The sequence below is a fragment of the Homo sapiens genome, chromosome 21 (assembly GCF_000001405.40).
Source record: "Homo sapiens chromosome 21, GRCh38.p14 Primary Assembly".
In the NCBI taxonomy this organism is placed as follows: domain Eukaryota; kingdom Metazoa; phylum Chordata; class Mammalia; order Primates; family Hominidae; genus Homo; species Homo sapiens.
Window position 1 is genome coordinate 14,075,072 of NC_000021.9, and position 16,206 is coordinate 14,091,277.

The 16,206-nt window shown below is 47.6% G+C and overlaps 1 long non-coding RNA gene and 1 pseudogene across 2 annotated transcripts in view, besides 3 other annotated features; both read left to right on the forward strand.

Annotated features, from left to right (window-relative positions):
* LOC105377134 (uncharacterized) overlaps nt 1–14,547 on the forward strand; it is a 62,187-nt gene extending 47,640 nt beyond the window's left edge. Inside the window, exons 2-3 of one of the 2 annotated variants that reach the window (NR_188592.1) lie at nt 8,879–9,073; nt 13,513–14,547. This is a non-coding gene — a long non-coding RNA (uncharacterized LOC105377134). The remainder of the gene's footprint in view (nt 1–8,878; nt 9,074–13,512) is intronic. The other variant, NR_188593.1, reaches the window with a different exon arrangement.
* Nucleotides 1,417–1,711: an enhancer, noted in NCBI's record as "tiled region #1456; HepG2 Activating non-DNase unmatched - State 9:DNaseU". NCBI's record gives its function as "activates a minimal TATA promoter and a strong SV40 promoter by Sharpr-MPRA in HepG2 cells {active_cell/tissue: HepG2}" and the evidence as "EXISTENCE:reporter gene assay evidence [ECO:0000049][PMID:27701403]".
* Nucleotides 1,417–1,747: a biological region, named in NCBI's record as "Sharpr-MPRA regulatory region 1456".
* Nucleotides 1,458–1,747: an enhancer, noted in NCBI's record as "active region_18267". NCBI's record gives its function as "activates an Ori minimal core promoter by ATAC-STARR-seq in GM12878 lymphoblastoid cells {active_cell/tissue: GM12878}" and the evidence as "EXISTENCE:reporter gene assay evidence [ECO:0000049][PMID:35858748]".
* ERLEC1P1 (endoplasmic reticulum lectin 1 pseudogene 1) overlaps nt 3,903–16,206 on the forward strand; it is a 65,494-nt pseudogene continuing 53,190 nt past the window's right edge.

The window sequence follows — 16,206 nt, forward strand, 5'->3', positions numbered from 1 at the left end:
CCCGCCACCGTTTGTCTCGGGCACGTGGGGGCAATCTGGAGCACTCCTGGATCACCACAAAGGCCCAGGTGGTGCCAACCCTCTCGTATCCCAGAAAGGGCAGCATGATGTTTTGTAGGGACAGTCCCCCATGGCCGCAGAGAGGTGCCGGGTCCACCCCCAAGGCAACAACCACAGGAAGCCAGAGCAAAGGTGCCTGCTGTGTCAGAGGACCCCACCAATCTTCTCAAAGCCATGAGGCACAAGGCATGAGGGCAGCGAGGTCATGCCAAATTCCCTGCCCCATGCCTCCCAACACACTACCCACGAGCGGGGAGGACAGACGAGGGGCCCCGCGAGCAGAATGAGAAGAACGGTTCCATTCACCATGAATTTCCATCCTTTGCTCCTCGTGGCTTAGTCCCGACCTGGGAGAGCGTGACATCACATTGATCATGAAAAGCCCCATAGCGGGGCGGTGGTTGAGTGAGGGTCTTTCTTGACGAAGCTGATGATCATAACAGCCCAGCCAGCCTCGCTCCGGGATAGGGACAGCAGACAATTTAAGGAAGAGAATGGCTGACGTGCACAGCACAAAGCCAACAGGATGGGGTTGTTCTGACCACCCCGTGTGCCCGCAGCAGGGAGCACACGGGTCAGAGGAGCCCATGCTGCCTTCCCCACCAGGGTCAAAGGCCCAGAGACAGTTATGACACTACGATGCATGAGAGCAGGCACACAGGTCCCAGCAATCAGCTCAAGCTGGGGCAGGGCCGGTTAGCCGGGTTACTGCTATACCAGAGCTTCACATGCATCTAGAGGCCCAATCTAATCGCCAGACAGCATGTCAGCAACAATCTGGTGGCCCAAAATGCCAACTCGGAGTGAAAGATATACCTCGCCTGGGGGCGGGGTGTCAAGTCACCGACCACACCACCGGCCCAGAAATGCGCGACCTGGACATCTGTCCTCAAAAAGGCCACCATGGCAGCCAGATATGGAACACCCAGGCCTTCTGTGGACCCCGGGACACACACAGGAGCAGCAGAGGGTCAGGGACACCCTCCCGGCCACCCGTGCAATGCAGGGGCTGGCCCATTTCTCCAGAGCGAGACTCGGAGTCATTTTCAGCCGGTCCCTCGCATGACTGGATCACATGAGGGACCCAAGCCCGGCCAGCTGCCACCTTTCGGACCACATGCGTGCTCAGGGACCGCTCTCCAACTCGGCATGGGGACTTGGAAAAAAAGATCAGGGCAGAGGGACTGGGGCCGGGCCCGGTGACCGCTCCTCGGCAACCAAAGGACAGTAAAGGACGGTCCCTGACTCCCCCGGGGACTTGGAAAATAATTCGGCAGGTGCCTCAGATGTCCAGGACCTGTACTGGCCTGCCACCAGGCTGGGAAGTTCGTCCCCAGCCACCCGCAAAATGCCCAATACGTCCCCGCGGGTCTTGGGTCAAGCCTTGGGAGTTGGGGGCGTGCTGTTTGACCAGCCAGGGCAGCCCCACACTGCCATTGAGCAGGGAAGCGCGGCGACAGCCTCCCCCCACAAGCCCTGCACGCCCGAGCTCTGACTCACAAGTGACGCGCCAGAGCTCCAGATGGCAGGGCAGCCCATGACTGGGAAACCAAAACCATGAGTGGAAGTCTTTTGAAGGCCCAAAACGCAGCACCTCCTCCCCAACTTCACAGAAACCGTTCCCCAACGTGTCTCTGCATAGGCTGCAACAGAGTCAAAAGACAACTTGGGAGTTTGAAGATGCATCTCAGAAGGAGAAAGAAGAAACGGGACTTGGTCGCGGATCGGTTAGGACACAGGGAGATACAGAATGAGGAGAGTCTTCTAGAATCCAGACAAAGACAGACAGAGGAAGGGAGGGAGAAAGGAAATGGAGAAAAGAGACAGACAGAGGAAGGGAAGGAGGGAGGGAAAGGAGCAGCGAGGGAGGAAGTGAGGAAGGAAATGAGAAACAGAGAGAGACAGAATTTTAAAAATCTAGAGAAAGAAGTATAAAGAAAGAGAGAAAGAGACATAGAAAGGGAAGAAAGATGAAAGAGATAAAGAATAAGGAAAGAAATAGAGGAAAGCCAGGAGGAAAAAACAAAGGAAAGAAAAAAGAAAGAAGAAAAAAGAAAAAGAATAAAAGGCAGAAAGAAGAAAGGAAAGAAAGGAAAGGAAGGAAGAAGAAAGGAAGGAAGGAAGGAAGGAAGGAAGGAAGAAAGAAAGAAAGAAAGAAAGAAAGAAAAGAGGAGAAAATAACAAAGAGGACAGGGCATGGTGACTCACATCTATAATCCCAACACTTTGCAAGGTTAGTTGGGAGAATCACCTGAGCCCAGGAGTTTGAGACCAGCTCTGGCAACATAGCGAGACCTTGTCTCACTTAAAGAAAAAAAAAAAGAAAAAAAAAGTTAGCCGGGCACGATGGCATGCGTCTGTAGTCACAGCTCCTCGAAAGGCTGAGATAAGACCATCTCTTGGACTCGGAAGGTCAAGGCTGTGGTGAGCCAGGGTCAGGCCAATGCACTGCAGCCCGGGTGACAGAGCGAGACTTCGTCTGAAAAAACTTGAACGAATAAAGATTGCGAGTCCTGCAAGAAAAAGATATAAAGGAAATGAAGAAGGAGGTCGCGTTCTGAAAGGAAAAATATTTTAAAAAGAAACAATGGGCGGATGCGGTGGCTCTTGGCTGTAATCCCAGCAATGTGGGAGGTCAAGTATTCAAGACCAGCCTGGCCAATATGGTGAAACCCCATCTCTACTAAAATTACAAAAATTAGCCGGGCGTGGTGGCGCGCGCCTGTAGTCCCAGCTACCTGGGGTGTGTGTGAGGCAGAAGAATCGCTTGAACCCGGGAGGCGGAGGTTGCCGTGAGTTGAGATGGCGCCACTGCACTCCAGCCTGGGTGACAGAGCGAGACTCTGTCTCAAAAAAAATCAAAAAAGAAAGAAAAAGAAAAAAAGAGGAAGAGAGAAATATGGAAAGAGAGAAAGAAGAAAGAAAGGAAAAAGGAAGGAAGAAAAAGAAAGGAAAAAGGAAATAGAAAAAGAAAAAAGAAAGAGAAAGAAAGAGGGAACTGGAGAAATTAAGAAGACAGAAATGAAAGGAGAAAGATGAAAAAAAAAACCTCTAAAAAAATAGTAAGGCCCAGGGCGGGGCTATGATGCACTTTCCACTTTACCAATATGCTGGCCAGGGAAAGAAAAATGTTAAACATAACGTAACGGTAAAAAGTGACTATGGCGGCTTAGCCAGGGTGGTTGAGTTTCCCTAGGGAGGGAGGGAGAGAGGAAGAGGAAACTGTCAGCGTCGAAGGAGAGAAACCGAGGTGAGGGGGAGGGGACAAAATAGGAGGGGGAAGGGATGGAGGCACAGTAGTTCACTCTGGAATGTTTTCTAGCCTGGGGTGGATGGGGAGACACGGAGGGCAACTCAGGAAACAAGCTGACTCCAGAAATGACACCGAATTCATAGTGCTGCCATCGCTGCCTTGAAAGGTGTGCACTGCATAATAACCTCCTTCGGTCGTTTAGTCCCACAGGCTTGACATCTACCTGCTTTCACAATATCTGGGGAGAATCAGAAAAGTCCCTACTAACGAAAAGGCCTAGGGTGGAGCTGCCATCTGTAAAACCCAGGCAGAAGAGTCCACGCGGGTTAAACACACAAATAAAGAAAAGGAAACAACTGATCAAAAGAGCAACAATCTGGCCCAACCAGAATCTCCAGAGGTTTTCTGGGCAATGAAGGAGTGGGAAACAGAGGGACGGAGGTAGAGCGGGCCTCAGAGAGCGGGGTGGGGGCGGGGGGAGCGGAGAGAAGCCACGCTCCTTCCGTACCGTGGGCGGGCGGCCAGAGCGTCCTGTGCGCCGCCTAGACTTCAAAAACGTTGACCGCTAGATGACGACCGATGACAACGCATGGAAGTGTCAGCCCGGCACCCTCCCAGGAGCTCCCAACAACTAATCGACCAGAGCCCCTGCGGGGGAAGAAGCACCGTGGCTCGGGAAAACATGGAGAAACATGCGCCTAAGCATGTACACACGTGCACGCCATATCCCACAATATAGACGAGTTTATACCGTGATAGTGAGAGAATCCATTTCTAGTAACAAAAGCAGCAGGCTGGGCGCGGCGGCCCACGCCCGTCACCCCAGCAATCTGGGAGGCCAAGGCGGGCAGACCACCTGAGGTCAAGAGTTCCAAACCAGCCTGGTCAACACAGCGAAATCCCGTCTCTAAGAAAAATGCAAAAATTAGCCGGGGTGGTGGTGGGTTCCTTTAATCCCAACTCCTGGGGCGCGAGAATCACTTGAACTCGGGAGGTGGAGGTTGCAGTGAGCTGAGATCTAACCACCACACTCCAGCCTGGGCAACAGAGGAAGACTCCGTCTCAAAAAAAAAAAAAAAAAAAAAAGAGTCAATCGCTTCCATCTTTAGACGAATACACTCTTACGCTTAGACAGATAGCTTGGAAGGTACATAAGCTTTATAAACATTTGTAATTTTGAGTCAGTCTGGCGATATTTCCAGGCCTTCTCCCTGTAAGTGGTCACAGAAATAAAAACTCCCTCCTTTTTCAGCTCATCTGCATCTCGTTATCAGGCCGCGAGAATAAGCAGCCTGACCCTCAGTTTGGTCCGGGAACAATTAAACTCCAGCCCGGGTGACAGAGGGATATTTTGCCTCAGAAAAGAAACAAGAAAACAATAAAAAAAAAATGAAGATATTAGCCGGGCGTTGTGCTGTGTTGTGGCTCGCGCCCGCGCCTGTAGGCCCAGCTACTCGGGAGGCTGAGGCAGAGGAAGATCGCTTTAAGCCCAGCAGTTCAAGGTCACAGTGAGCTATGATCCTACCACTGCACTCCAGCCTCGGTGACACAGGAAGACTCCGTCTCTAAAAAATACATGAATGAATGAATAGATGAATGTAAAAAAAAAAAAATGCAAGGAGGTGGCAGAGCACGGGAAGGCTCCACTCGTTCCTAAAGACCAGAGCAGAAAAACAGGACCATCCGTTTGAGATATATGCTATTCCGAATCACAGTGGAGGCCTTGAGGATTTCGGAGCAAGGCCCTGCCATTATCTGCAGATAACCATTCTTCTTTGGAGCCACAGGCTATCTCAGCTAGCCTCTGGCAGTTGGTAGAAACCAAACGCCCAACCGTGGGGCCACGAAGTTATCGTGTGAGCTCAGCCACTCATCACACACTGGGCGTAAGTGGGTGTGCACAGCAGCACTCCGGGGTGACACGCAAGGGCTGTGGACCGGATTGGGTCCAAACAGATCCTGAAGCGCAAGTAAGTTCCACGAGAAAGTGGCCCAAATGCCCATGGTACCCAGTCAAGAAATGAGCTAAGAAATTACACATAGCTGGGCACAGTGGCTCATGCCTGTAACCTCAGCAGTTTGTGTTGGGGAAAGCAGCCCCACACCATCCGGCGGGTACCCCGAGTCCAGTGGACACAAAGGAGTTAGAAAGAGACAAAATAAGTGTTTAAAAGGCGGGTCCAGGGGACCGGAGCGTCGGAGGCTTGCTCCAGGCCCAGAGCTCTCGGGCTCCGGCGGAATTCAATGGTTTACAAGCTCTTTGTTCTTAGGGCAGATGGGAGGGGTAGAAAGGGATGAGGAAAAGGATTAATCACCGAAGGAGAACTCGTGAGTCCTTCAATAAGATGTATAGCAGTGGCGGTTTTTGTGAATTTCCTTGAGCAAAGGCGTGTGTCTAAACTACTTAAGATCTTTAACTTATCGGGACTGAAATGGGAGGGAGTGGGTTTCAGGAGGAGCCAAGATGTTTGATGATACTCCACTGTTTCAAGGGAGTGTTATCTCCCTTAGCAACCTGTGGAATGCCTCTGAGCTGTTATGCTCTCGGGGCATAAAGACATGAAGGCAATAAGGAGAGTTTTCTTCTCAGAGGCTGCCCATGGCTCCCCATGGGTGTCTCACAGGGGAGACCAACTCATCTGGCACCCCAGAAACTCTCTTTCCCACACTTTGGGAGGGTGAGATGGGTGGATCACTTGAGGTCAGGAGTTTGAGACCAGCCTGGCAACCACGGCAAAACCCTGTCTCTACTAAAAATATAAAAATTAGTCAGGTGCAGTGGCGCGTGCCAATATTCCCAGCTACTAGGGAGGCTAAGGCAGGAAAATTGCTTGAACCTGGGAGGTGGAGGTTGCAGTGAGCTGCGAGCATGCCGCTGTGCTCCAGGCTGGGTGACACAGTGAGACTCTGTCTCCAAACAAAAATTTAATTTAATTTAAAAAAAGAAAGTACACATAGAAATTACACATAGCCAAGTGCAGTGGCTCACGCCTGTAATCTCAGCACTTTGGGAGGCTGAGACAGGTGGATCACTTTGTAGCATCATTGCTGCCTCGAAAGGACAGAGGCGTGTGTTTATGTCACTATTGGTTTTATTTTTTTCTTTTTTCCTGGAAACTCATTTTTTATTATTATTATTAGTAGTAGTAGTAGTAGTAGTAGTAGTAGTATTTTGGATACGGAGTTTCACTCTTCTTGCCCAGGCTGGAGAGTAATGGTGCAATCTCGGCTCACCGCAACCTCTGTCTCACGGATTCAAGGATTACAAGCAAGTGCTGCCATGCCCAGCTAACTTGGTATTTTTAGTACAGATAGGGTTTCTCCATGTTGGTCAGGCTGGTCTCGAACTCCCAACCTCAGGTGATTCCCCCGCATCAGCCTCTGTAAGTGCCAGGATTACATGCATGAGCCAACGCGCCTGGCCTCTTTGGTTTTGTTTTGTTTTGTTTTTGAGACGGAGTCTCACTCTGTCACCCAGGCTGGAGTGCAGTGGTGCTATCTCAGCTCACGGCAACCTTCACCTCCCGGGTTCAAGCAATTCTCCTGCCTCAACCTCCTGAGTAGCTGAGATTACAGGCGCGCCTGGCTAATTTTTTGTATTTTTAGTAGAGGGAGGTTTTCACCATACTGGCCAGGCTGGACTTGGACTCCTGACCTCATGATCTGCCCGCCTCTGCCTCCCAAAGTGCTGGGATTACAGGTGTGAGCCACCACACCTGGCATATTTATTTCTTTTTCAACTGATCAAAGAACAGTCAGACCCAGTCATCAGGGTGGCAATTCCCTAGGCAATAAGGGAGGGAGAAACTTGGAGGTGGGGGCAGGGGCAGTGGAGAAGACGCAGTTGCCCCGGGCTGCATGCAGGCACCACAAGCTTTCTTCCTCCTTGAGGCCTTGGTTTTCAGAGTAACAGTGGCCTCTAGGTGATGCCCAACGTCTGCCAATTAGAGTGTCAGCCTGGAATGAATTGGGATCACCCGGAGGGGAGAGGGGAGGGGAAGAATGGAGGCACCCACAGTACAGTGGGTCACCGCGCCCTCCCAGGCAGTCCCCACAACTAATCAACCGGGGCCCCTGGAGGGACACAGCCTAAGTCCCCACCCATCGGATCATCTAGAAATTCCGTCCAGAGACCGATTGGAAATTCAGTCAAGCTCCAAACCTAAAAGAATCACTGGCACACCCACCAGGACTAAGACAACTTTTAAAAGAATCGTTTCTGTGTTTTGGGTGCATCCGTGTATTTCTGTACAACAAAGTTATTTATTTTAAATGTTACAAGTTTTTTACTCCTTTTCTTTTTAACTTCTTACGTGTACAGTAAGAAGGGGACTCGTCAGCTCAGAGTCCATGAAGCCAGAAGCTGACATCCTCAGTTCCTATTTAGAATGAATTTAAACAAGCCATCCAAACACTCTGCCATGAAACTCCTGGAAAGACAAGTGATTAAAAAAAAGAAAAAAAAAACAATGCTGTCAGGAGCAGTGGCTCACGTCTTTCATCCCTGCACTTCGGGAGCCTGAGGACGGGTGGATTCCTTGATCCCAGGCAATCGAGACCAGCCTTGGCAACATGGTGAAACCTTGTCTCTACAAAAATACAAAATTCAGCTGGTTTCATAATCTGGACTCAAAATTAATAAATAAATAGATTGAAATTTAAAATTTAAAAAAAATCTTAAATGCTGTATTCTGTTATTTTTGCTTCCTACCCTGAGAAGGAAGTAATATAGCTGTTGTCTGTCTGTCCATCTGTTTGTGATAGGGTCTCACTCTGTCTGTCGCCCAGGCTGGAGTGCAGTGACACCATCACGGCTCACGGCAGCCTCAACCACCCCAGGGTTAGGTGATTCTCCCACTTCAGCCTCCTGAGTAGCTGAGACCACAGGCATGCACCTCGGGTTTTGGCGTGTTGTCCAAGGCTGGTCTCCAGCTCCCGGGCTCAAAAGATCCTACCGCCTCGGCCTCCCAAAGTGTTGGGGTTACAGGCCTGAGCCACCGAACCCGGCCTGACTTAATACATCTGTTCTCACTGTGTCCTGACCACATGCCCTTAAAGAACTCGAGTCGAGAGAGTCAGCAAGAGACTTTCAGCATTGTCTCCCGAAAGCAGTGAGGTGGATGGCGGTGGAGTGTCCCAAAAGCAGTGAGGTGGATGGCGGTGGAGTGTCCCGAAAGCAGAGAGGTGGATGGCGGTGGATTGTCCCGCGCTCCTGTGGTTTTAGGTGGCCACGCATGGAGGATAGATTTCAAATATTTCCGGAGAGGCTCGAGCCACAGTCATTCAGAGCATCCGAGCTCGGGATGGGGTTTCTGACAGCGCCTTAAGGGCAAGGAAGGGCCAGGAAGGGCAGGATCTGCCAAGGCCCGTCTTCCAGGGTGGGGACAAGGGAACCCAAGGTAGAGGGAGCCATCGATCTGCACTCAGCTCCAGCCCTAGGCCCCACCGTGCAGACTAAGTCAGAAGGAAAAGTCCCTCGTCCTACATGCCACATCCCTCCACTGAACTTGGGAGCAGATCTGTTTTTCAAACATGAGGTGACCAGAGTTATCTGTTCTACTTTAGAAATCCCAAGTTGACCGTCAAGTCCAACGCTCGCTGCAGACATCTAGTGGACCCGGCGCTCGCGGACGGAAGCGGACAGACCTAGTTGGATCCTTATCCCACCAATCTGGCCCACCTTTGCTGCCATCTAACTCCGCTGACCGGCCCACCGTTCCTCCACTGTTCGCTGGTTGACCCGGGCAGCGGAGAGAGGAGGTAAGGCACAAGGGCAGTGACTGGCTCATGTCCCATTCCCGCGCACCTGGGGTGGGGAGAGGGGCCCAACGGCCACCACCGGGCATGCGTGAACACTACCGGGACAGGAACCGCAGGGGCACACCCTCCAACACCCAAGCGTCAGCCATTCTCAACAGGCTCCATCCCAGCCCCTGGAGGAGTTCCCAGCGGGTTGCGGGGAGGAGGTGGAATCGGTGAGGTGGAACGACGAGCAGGGGCGCCAACCCTACATCGGCAACCCCCCGCGCGGCACCTTGGAAAGACCGCGAGTGGGGACGGGCGCCTCCCGAATGCACAGCGGGCGCCGATGGGCTTTCGCAAGAGACACCCGCTGCGTGCTCCGGGGCTCCGGGGCGGGTGGGCATAAGCGGGCCAGGGAAGGAGGTCCCCGGGGGCAACAGGAGGGAGGAAGGAAGGTAGACCTCATGGGCTGAATTACACAGGACACGCCATATCACCAGGTCCCCCGCACACGGGTGGAGAGAACCTTGTGTGGAGGTCTGACTTTCAGCAGATCGCAGCGAGGGAGCTGCTCTGCTCCATAGAAAATCCTGACCCAGAAGCAGGGCGTCTACCAATAGTTTAGCATCAGGTTCCCCACAAACACGTTACCTGATGGGTCAGGGAGTGACCACCTTTCTGGCAGCAGCCCGTTTCCCAGGACGAGGGGCTGTCTGCACCGGACGCCGGTTCCCGGTGCACAGCGGGACATGCCCCGCGCGGGGCGGAGTGGCCCGCCAGCTGGGACCGCAGAGGACCGCCTTTCCGAGGCCAAAAAACGCTCCGCGGCGCTGCCAAATCGTTCCTCCTCGGCGGGATTCTGACTTAGAGTCGTTCAGTCATAATCCCACATATGGTAGCTTTACCCCATTGGCTCCTCAGCCAAGGACATACACCAAATGTCTGAACCTGGGGTTCCTCTCCTACTGAGCAGGATTACCATGGCAGCAACGCATGGGCAGCAACACATGGGGAACACACACAGTAAAACTAACACGTCTCACATGAGTCTAACCATAATGCTTTCCAAGGCATGCACACCGCTCGCGGGTGAATCCATTCCAGTTTGCCTTGCCCTTTGCAAAGAAAAGAGAACTCTCCAGGTGCGGTGGCTGGTGCCTGTAATCCCAACAATTTGGGAGGCTGAGGAGGGCGGATCACCTGAGATCAGGAGTTCAAGATCAGCTTGGCCAACATAGTGAAACCCTTTCTCTACAAAAATACAAAAATTAGCCGGGCATGATGGTGGGTGCCTGTAATCCCAGCTACCCAGGTTGCTGAGGTGGGAGAATCGCTTGAACCTGGGAGGCGGAGGTTGCAGTGGGCCGAGATGGCGCCATTGCACTCCAGCCTAGGCAACAAGAGCGAAAATACGTCTCAAAAAAATAAATAAAATAAAAAAGATACAAATAATTAGATGGGCTCTATTGCCCAGGCTGGAGTGCAGTGGCTTGATTTCTGCGACAACCTCCACCTCCCGGGTTCAAGTGATTCTCCTGCCTCTGCCTCCCAAGTAGCTGGGACTACAGGCGTGCATGCCACCACACCCGGCTAATTTTTGTATTTTTAGTAGAAACGGGGTTTCACCACGTTGACCAGGCTGGTCTTGAACTCCTGACCTCAAGCAATCTGCTTGCCTTAGCCTCCCAAAGTGCTGGGATTACAGGAGTGAGCCACTGCACCCGGCCTATGTGTTTGCTTTTTAAGTCTCTCTTTCTAGGGTCATGAGAATTCTTATTAATTTCACTTAGAGCTCCTTGAGAGAAAAGCCTCTATTATTGTCATTGTAACAGTAAAAAAAAAGTAGAGCTTTTTTTTTTTTTTCTTTTGGGACAGAGTTTCGCTCTTATTGCCCAGACTGGAGTGCAATGGCCGGATCTCAGCTCACTGCAACCTCTGCCTCCCAGGTTCAAGCGATTCTCCTGCCTCGGCCTCCCAAGTAGCTGGGATTACAGGCATGTGCCACCACGCGTGGCTAATTTTGTGTTTTTAGTAGAGACAGGATTTCACCATGTTGGTCAGTCTGTTCTGGAACTCCTGACCTCAGGTGATCCACCTGCCTTGGCATCCCAAAGTGCTGGGATCATGGGCGTGAGCCACCACACGTGGCTCCCAAGAACTCTTCAAATGCACCTAGTGTCACAAGAACAGATAGTAAAACTGTATCTGAAAAAGTGGCTTATGCTGGGAAACTTTTGGTGGATTTGGGGAAACTTAGGGCAAATTTTAAACATGAGGACTTTTGTCAGATCACCTACATTCCTTGGATTCTATGTGGGTTTGTCGCAGATGCTTGATGTGACAAATTACACGGTTTCTATCACTTCATTTGATCAGCCTCCCATTGACTTTCAGCCAAGTCCTGCAGAATTGCTTCTCAGATTGTATCTTTCCTCAAGACAAAGATGTTTTTCATAGTGTTTCTCTAACTTCTCCCTTTTGTGGCTATTAATTTATACTTACATGTTTTTCAACTCCTTATTTTTGTTTTCTCTTTGTGAAAGCTTTTAACCTGTGCTATTCTTGAGGGAAATACTGATGCATATCTAAACTTTAAGGGTGTTTTCCACCCTGGCTGCAGACACTTGGTGAGTAATTTTTCAGGTGATGGGAAAACCCATCATCATGAGAATGTAGCAAATTTCATTTTGCAGTAACTGTTAAAATTGTAGCCATGGTGCTCAGTAAAAGAGGACCTTCCCCCTGTAGGTGTTTGGGGAGGAGTGAAGTCCTGTCCTCCATTTTGTTAGTAACCTGCTTGTGGATGGGGTATTGTCACCCAGAAAGGAAAGAGATACGATGGTATGCAGTTACAGGGAGCCGGGGAAAGAGCAAGACAAAAAAATTCCCTCATGTCTTCAATGCAGAGCCGGCATTTAGACCTCTACTCCAGGCAGGGCCCACAAATCTCTGGCAGCCGTGAGCACCTGTTTTGCTTTTGCCTTCTTCCTGTTGGCAATTTTGGTTTTTGGGTTTTTTTTTTGTTAAGACAGAGTCTCACTCCATCACCGGGCTGGAGTGCAGTGGTGCGATCTCGGCTCACTGCAGCCTCTGCCTCCCAGGTTCAAGTGATCCTCTTGTCTCAGCCTCCCAATTAGCTGGGACTACAGGTGCGCATCACCACGGACAGCTAATTTTTGTATTTTTAGTAGAGATGGGGTTTCGCTACACTGCCCAGGCTGATCTCGACTCCTGATCTCAAGTGATCTGCCCACCTCAGCCTTTCAAAGTGCTGGGATTACAGGTGTGAGTCATCGTGCCCTGCCTGTTGACAATTTGAGGGGCATGTAAAATGTCTGCAGGCTTTTCAGCCAGAAAAACACAGAAGACTGTGTTATGTGGCTTCTCCATTCTCCCTCTTTCTCTGCTCTCCTAAATATTAAAGGGTTCTCCTTTTCCCAAGCCCAGTGGAAAAGCCTCAGGAAGCATGGCGGTATCAGAAACATCCAAAGGGATCCCATCAAGTAATTCCAAATCACTCTCATTCACCCCATTGGAAGTTTCTGCCATCCTGTCTGCCCTGGAGGCTTCCTAATGCAGGCAGATAATATCCTTGGTGTGCTATTAGGCTGGAAGACTCCCTCATCTTTGCTCTTCTGTTTGAGAAAAAAAAATGCCCGGGCACAGTGGCTCACGCCTGTAATCCCAACACTTGGGGAGGCTGAGGCAGGCGGATCACTTGAGGTCAGGAGTTTGAGACCAGCCCGGCCAACATGGTGAAACCCCATCTCTACTAAAAATACGAAGGTTAGCCAGGCGTGGTGGCGGACGCCTGTAATCCCAGCGACTCAAGAGGCTGAGGCAGAAGAATCACTCGAACCCAGGAGGCGGAGGTTGCCGTGAGCCGAGTGCACCACTGCACTCCAGCCTAGGCAACAGAGCAAGACTCTGCCTAAAAATATATAAATATAAATATAATATATAAATATACTTATATATATTATATATAATTATATATAATATATAAATATATTATATATAATTATATATAATTTATAAATATATTATATATATAAATATATAATATATTTTTATATATTATATAATTATATATAATATATAAATATATTATATATATAAATATATAATATATTTTTATATAATATATAATTATAAATATATAATATATTTTTATATATTATATATAATTATAAATTATTATATATAATCAATTAATAATATATCATTAATAATAATATATCATATATAATAATATAATTAATAATATAATTAAAAATATAATATATAATTATAAATATAGTATATAATTATAATTATATTTTTATGTATTTTTTAATAATTCGTTTTAATAAATGAATAGAATTCATCACCTAACTTCTAAAGCTACTTCTCCCGATGAAAGTCCGGGCACTTAGGAGTCAACAGTGGTGTATTGAGTGTATGACTCTTGCTCACAGGTGCTTCTCTTCTGTCCCACGGCAGGCGGCACCAACAGAAGGCTTCTGCAAAGCTGAGAGCTCCTTTTACCCATGGATCAGGAGCAGAGTTTGCAGCTACACTGTCAGGCTGTGTTTGGATGTTAGCAGTTAGTTTAGCTTTGCGTCTTCAGAGCAATTGTTCTTAGCTACTTAAAAAAAGAAAAGAAAAGAAAGGAAAATTTAAAATTTTCTTCATTGATCATTCAGGAGCATGTTTAATTTCCATGTATTTGTACAATTTCAAAAGTTCACCTTGTTGTTGACTTCTAGTTTTATTCCATTGTGGTCAGGAAAGATACTCGATATAATTTCAATTATTTTAAATTTGTTGAGACTTGTTTTGTGGCCTAACATATGGTCTATTCTGGAGAATGTTTCTTGTGCTGATGAAAGAATGTGTTTTTTGCATCTGTTGGATGAAATGTTCTGTAAATGTCTCTTTGTTAGTCTAAAATGCAGTTTTTTGTTTTTTGTTTTTTTAGGAGAGTCTCACTCTGTTGCCCAGGCTGGAGTGCAGTAGCATGATCTTGACTCACTGCAACCTCCACCTCCCAGGTTCAAGCAATTCTCATGCCTCAGCCTCCCAAGTAGCTGGAATTACAGATGCCCACCACCACACCCAGCCAATTTTTGTATTTTTAGTAGAGACAGTGTTTTACCATGCTGGCCAGGCTGGTCTCAAACTCCTGGCCTCAAGGGATCCGCCTGCCTTGGCCTCCCAAGGTGCTGGTACTATAGGTGTGAGCCACCGCATCCAGCCTAAAGTACAGTATAAATCTAATGTTTTGTTTTTGATCTTCTATCTAGACAATCTGTTCAGTGCTGAGAATGGGGTATTGAATTCCCCAGCTATTGTATTGGCATCTATATCTCCCTTTAGACCTAATAATATTTGGTTTATATTATATATCTCGGTGCTCCAGTGTTGGGTGCATATATATTTAGAATTGTTACATCCTTTTGCTGAATTGATCCCTTTATCAATATATAATAACCTTCATCTTTTTTTAATCACTTTTGAGTTAAAGTCTGTTTTATCTGATATGAGTACAGCTACCCTGCTTGCTTTTGGTTTCTGTTTGCATGGAATATCTTTTTCCACCCTTTCAGTCTATGTGTGTCTTTACAGATGAAGTGAGTTTCTTGTAGGCAACCTATAGTTGGGCCATGTTTTTTAATCCATTCAGCCAGTCTATATATTTTAAGGGGGGAAATTTAATCAGTTTACATTCAAGATTGTTACTGATAGGTGAGGGCTTCTGTCATTTTGTTAATTATTTTCTGTTTTTTAAATATATCCTTTGTTCCTTTCTTCCCCTCTTATTGTTCATCCTTGTAATTTGGTGGTTTTCTGTAGTGGTAAAATTTCTTTTCTCTTTCTCCTTTGTGTATGTGCTGTACCAGTGAGTTTTATACTTTTTTCGTGCTTTCTTGATAGTAACTATCATTTCACTTCCAGATGTGGGACTCTGTTGAGCATTTCTTGTAAGGCTGGTCTAGTGGTGATGAATTCTGTCAGTTTTTGCTTGTCTCAGACATGTCAGGCATTTAGCTTCAGGACCTGATTCTAGTTCCTGCCCTGTGGTGACAAATAGAAACAGATCCCTGGTACCCTGCTTAGGTACTAAGCCAGCTAGATGAGAGCAGATGAAAAAATCAAATCTTTCTATTTTGCCAGGGATTAATTCATTCCCAGGATTGTAAATATTACATTTCACTTTTCATCTCACAGAACTGTGAGGTTAGAAAGTGAGCTGGGCAGCCTGCCCAGAAAGACATTATGATGTATACAACACAGTGAACTACTAAGGAGGTGTCTTTAAAGGCATTTACAGCACATAGCTTTTAGTTTTCCTTTTAATTTTGCTGCTCTTTATTTGTAGTAGTAGATAAGGAATTAAGAAAGCAAAAATAAGTGCTTTGACTAGGTCTTTTGCCTTTGAAAATAGCATTAGTAAAATCCTCTCTTCTTTTTTATTCTTGTAAACTTCACCTAATTCACTCTGCCCCCCAGCCCATCTGTGTTCACTTGCTGTTCTTGCTGCTGTCAGTTTTTAAAAGCTTACTCTAAAATTACATGAAAGCAACCCCATTTTGACAAAATTAGAATTCTGGTAGCGATGGCTTACCATGAGGCTGTTGAGAGAGGCCCAGGAAGACTTTTGTTCTTTTTATTTCAACCCCTCTCGGTTAAACCTACAATTTGGTAGGTGATATAATTACCTCCCTTGGACAGGTCTGTATCTCTGCCTTGGAGAAATAACAAAGTCCAAAGTACTCTCCTCATTCAAAGATGTTGCAAATGAAAGCTGTTTTGATCTTCATGTATTAGCATTTGAGTTTTAATCTTTCTGGGGCTCCTGGCAGAAAATTTCTTTAAATTTATTATATAATTCTAAAATATTGGACATATTTGTTTCACGCATCTGTCAATATCCTTATTCTTTTCATTAAACTCTCCACTGCCCCCATTAGTCATCAGGTCCTACTGATTTTTAACTCCTAAGTATTTCTCAAATCTGTCTCCTCAGTGTGTATTGTTGGTTATATAACTCCATCTCCATTGTCACTGTGCTGCTTTAGAGTATCTTTTCTTGTCTAGATCAGTGCCTGGCTTATATTATGAGCTTCGAAAAGTTGGATCAATGAATGAATGATTCATAATCTGGACAA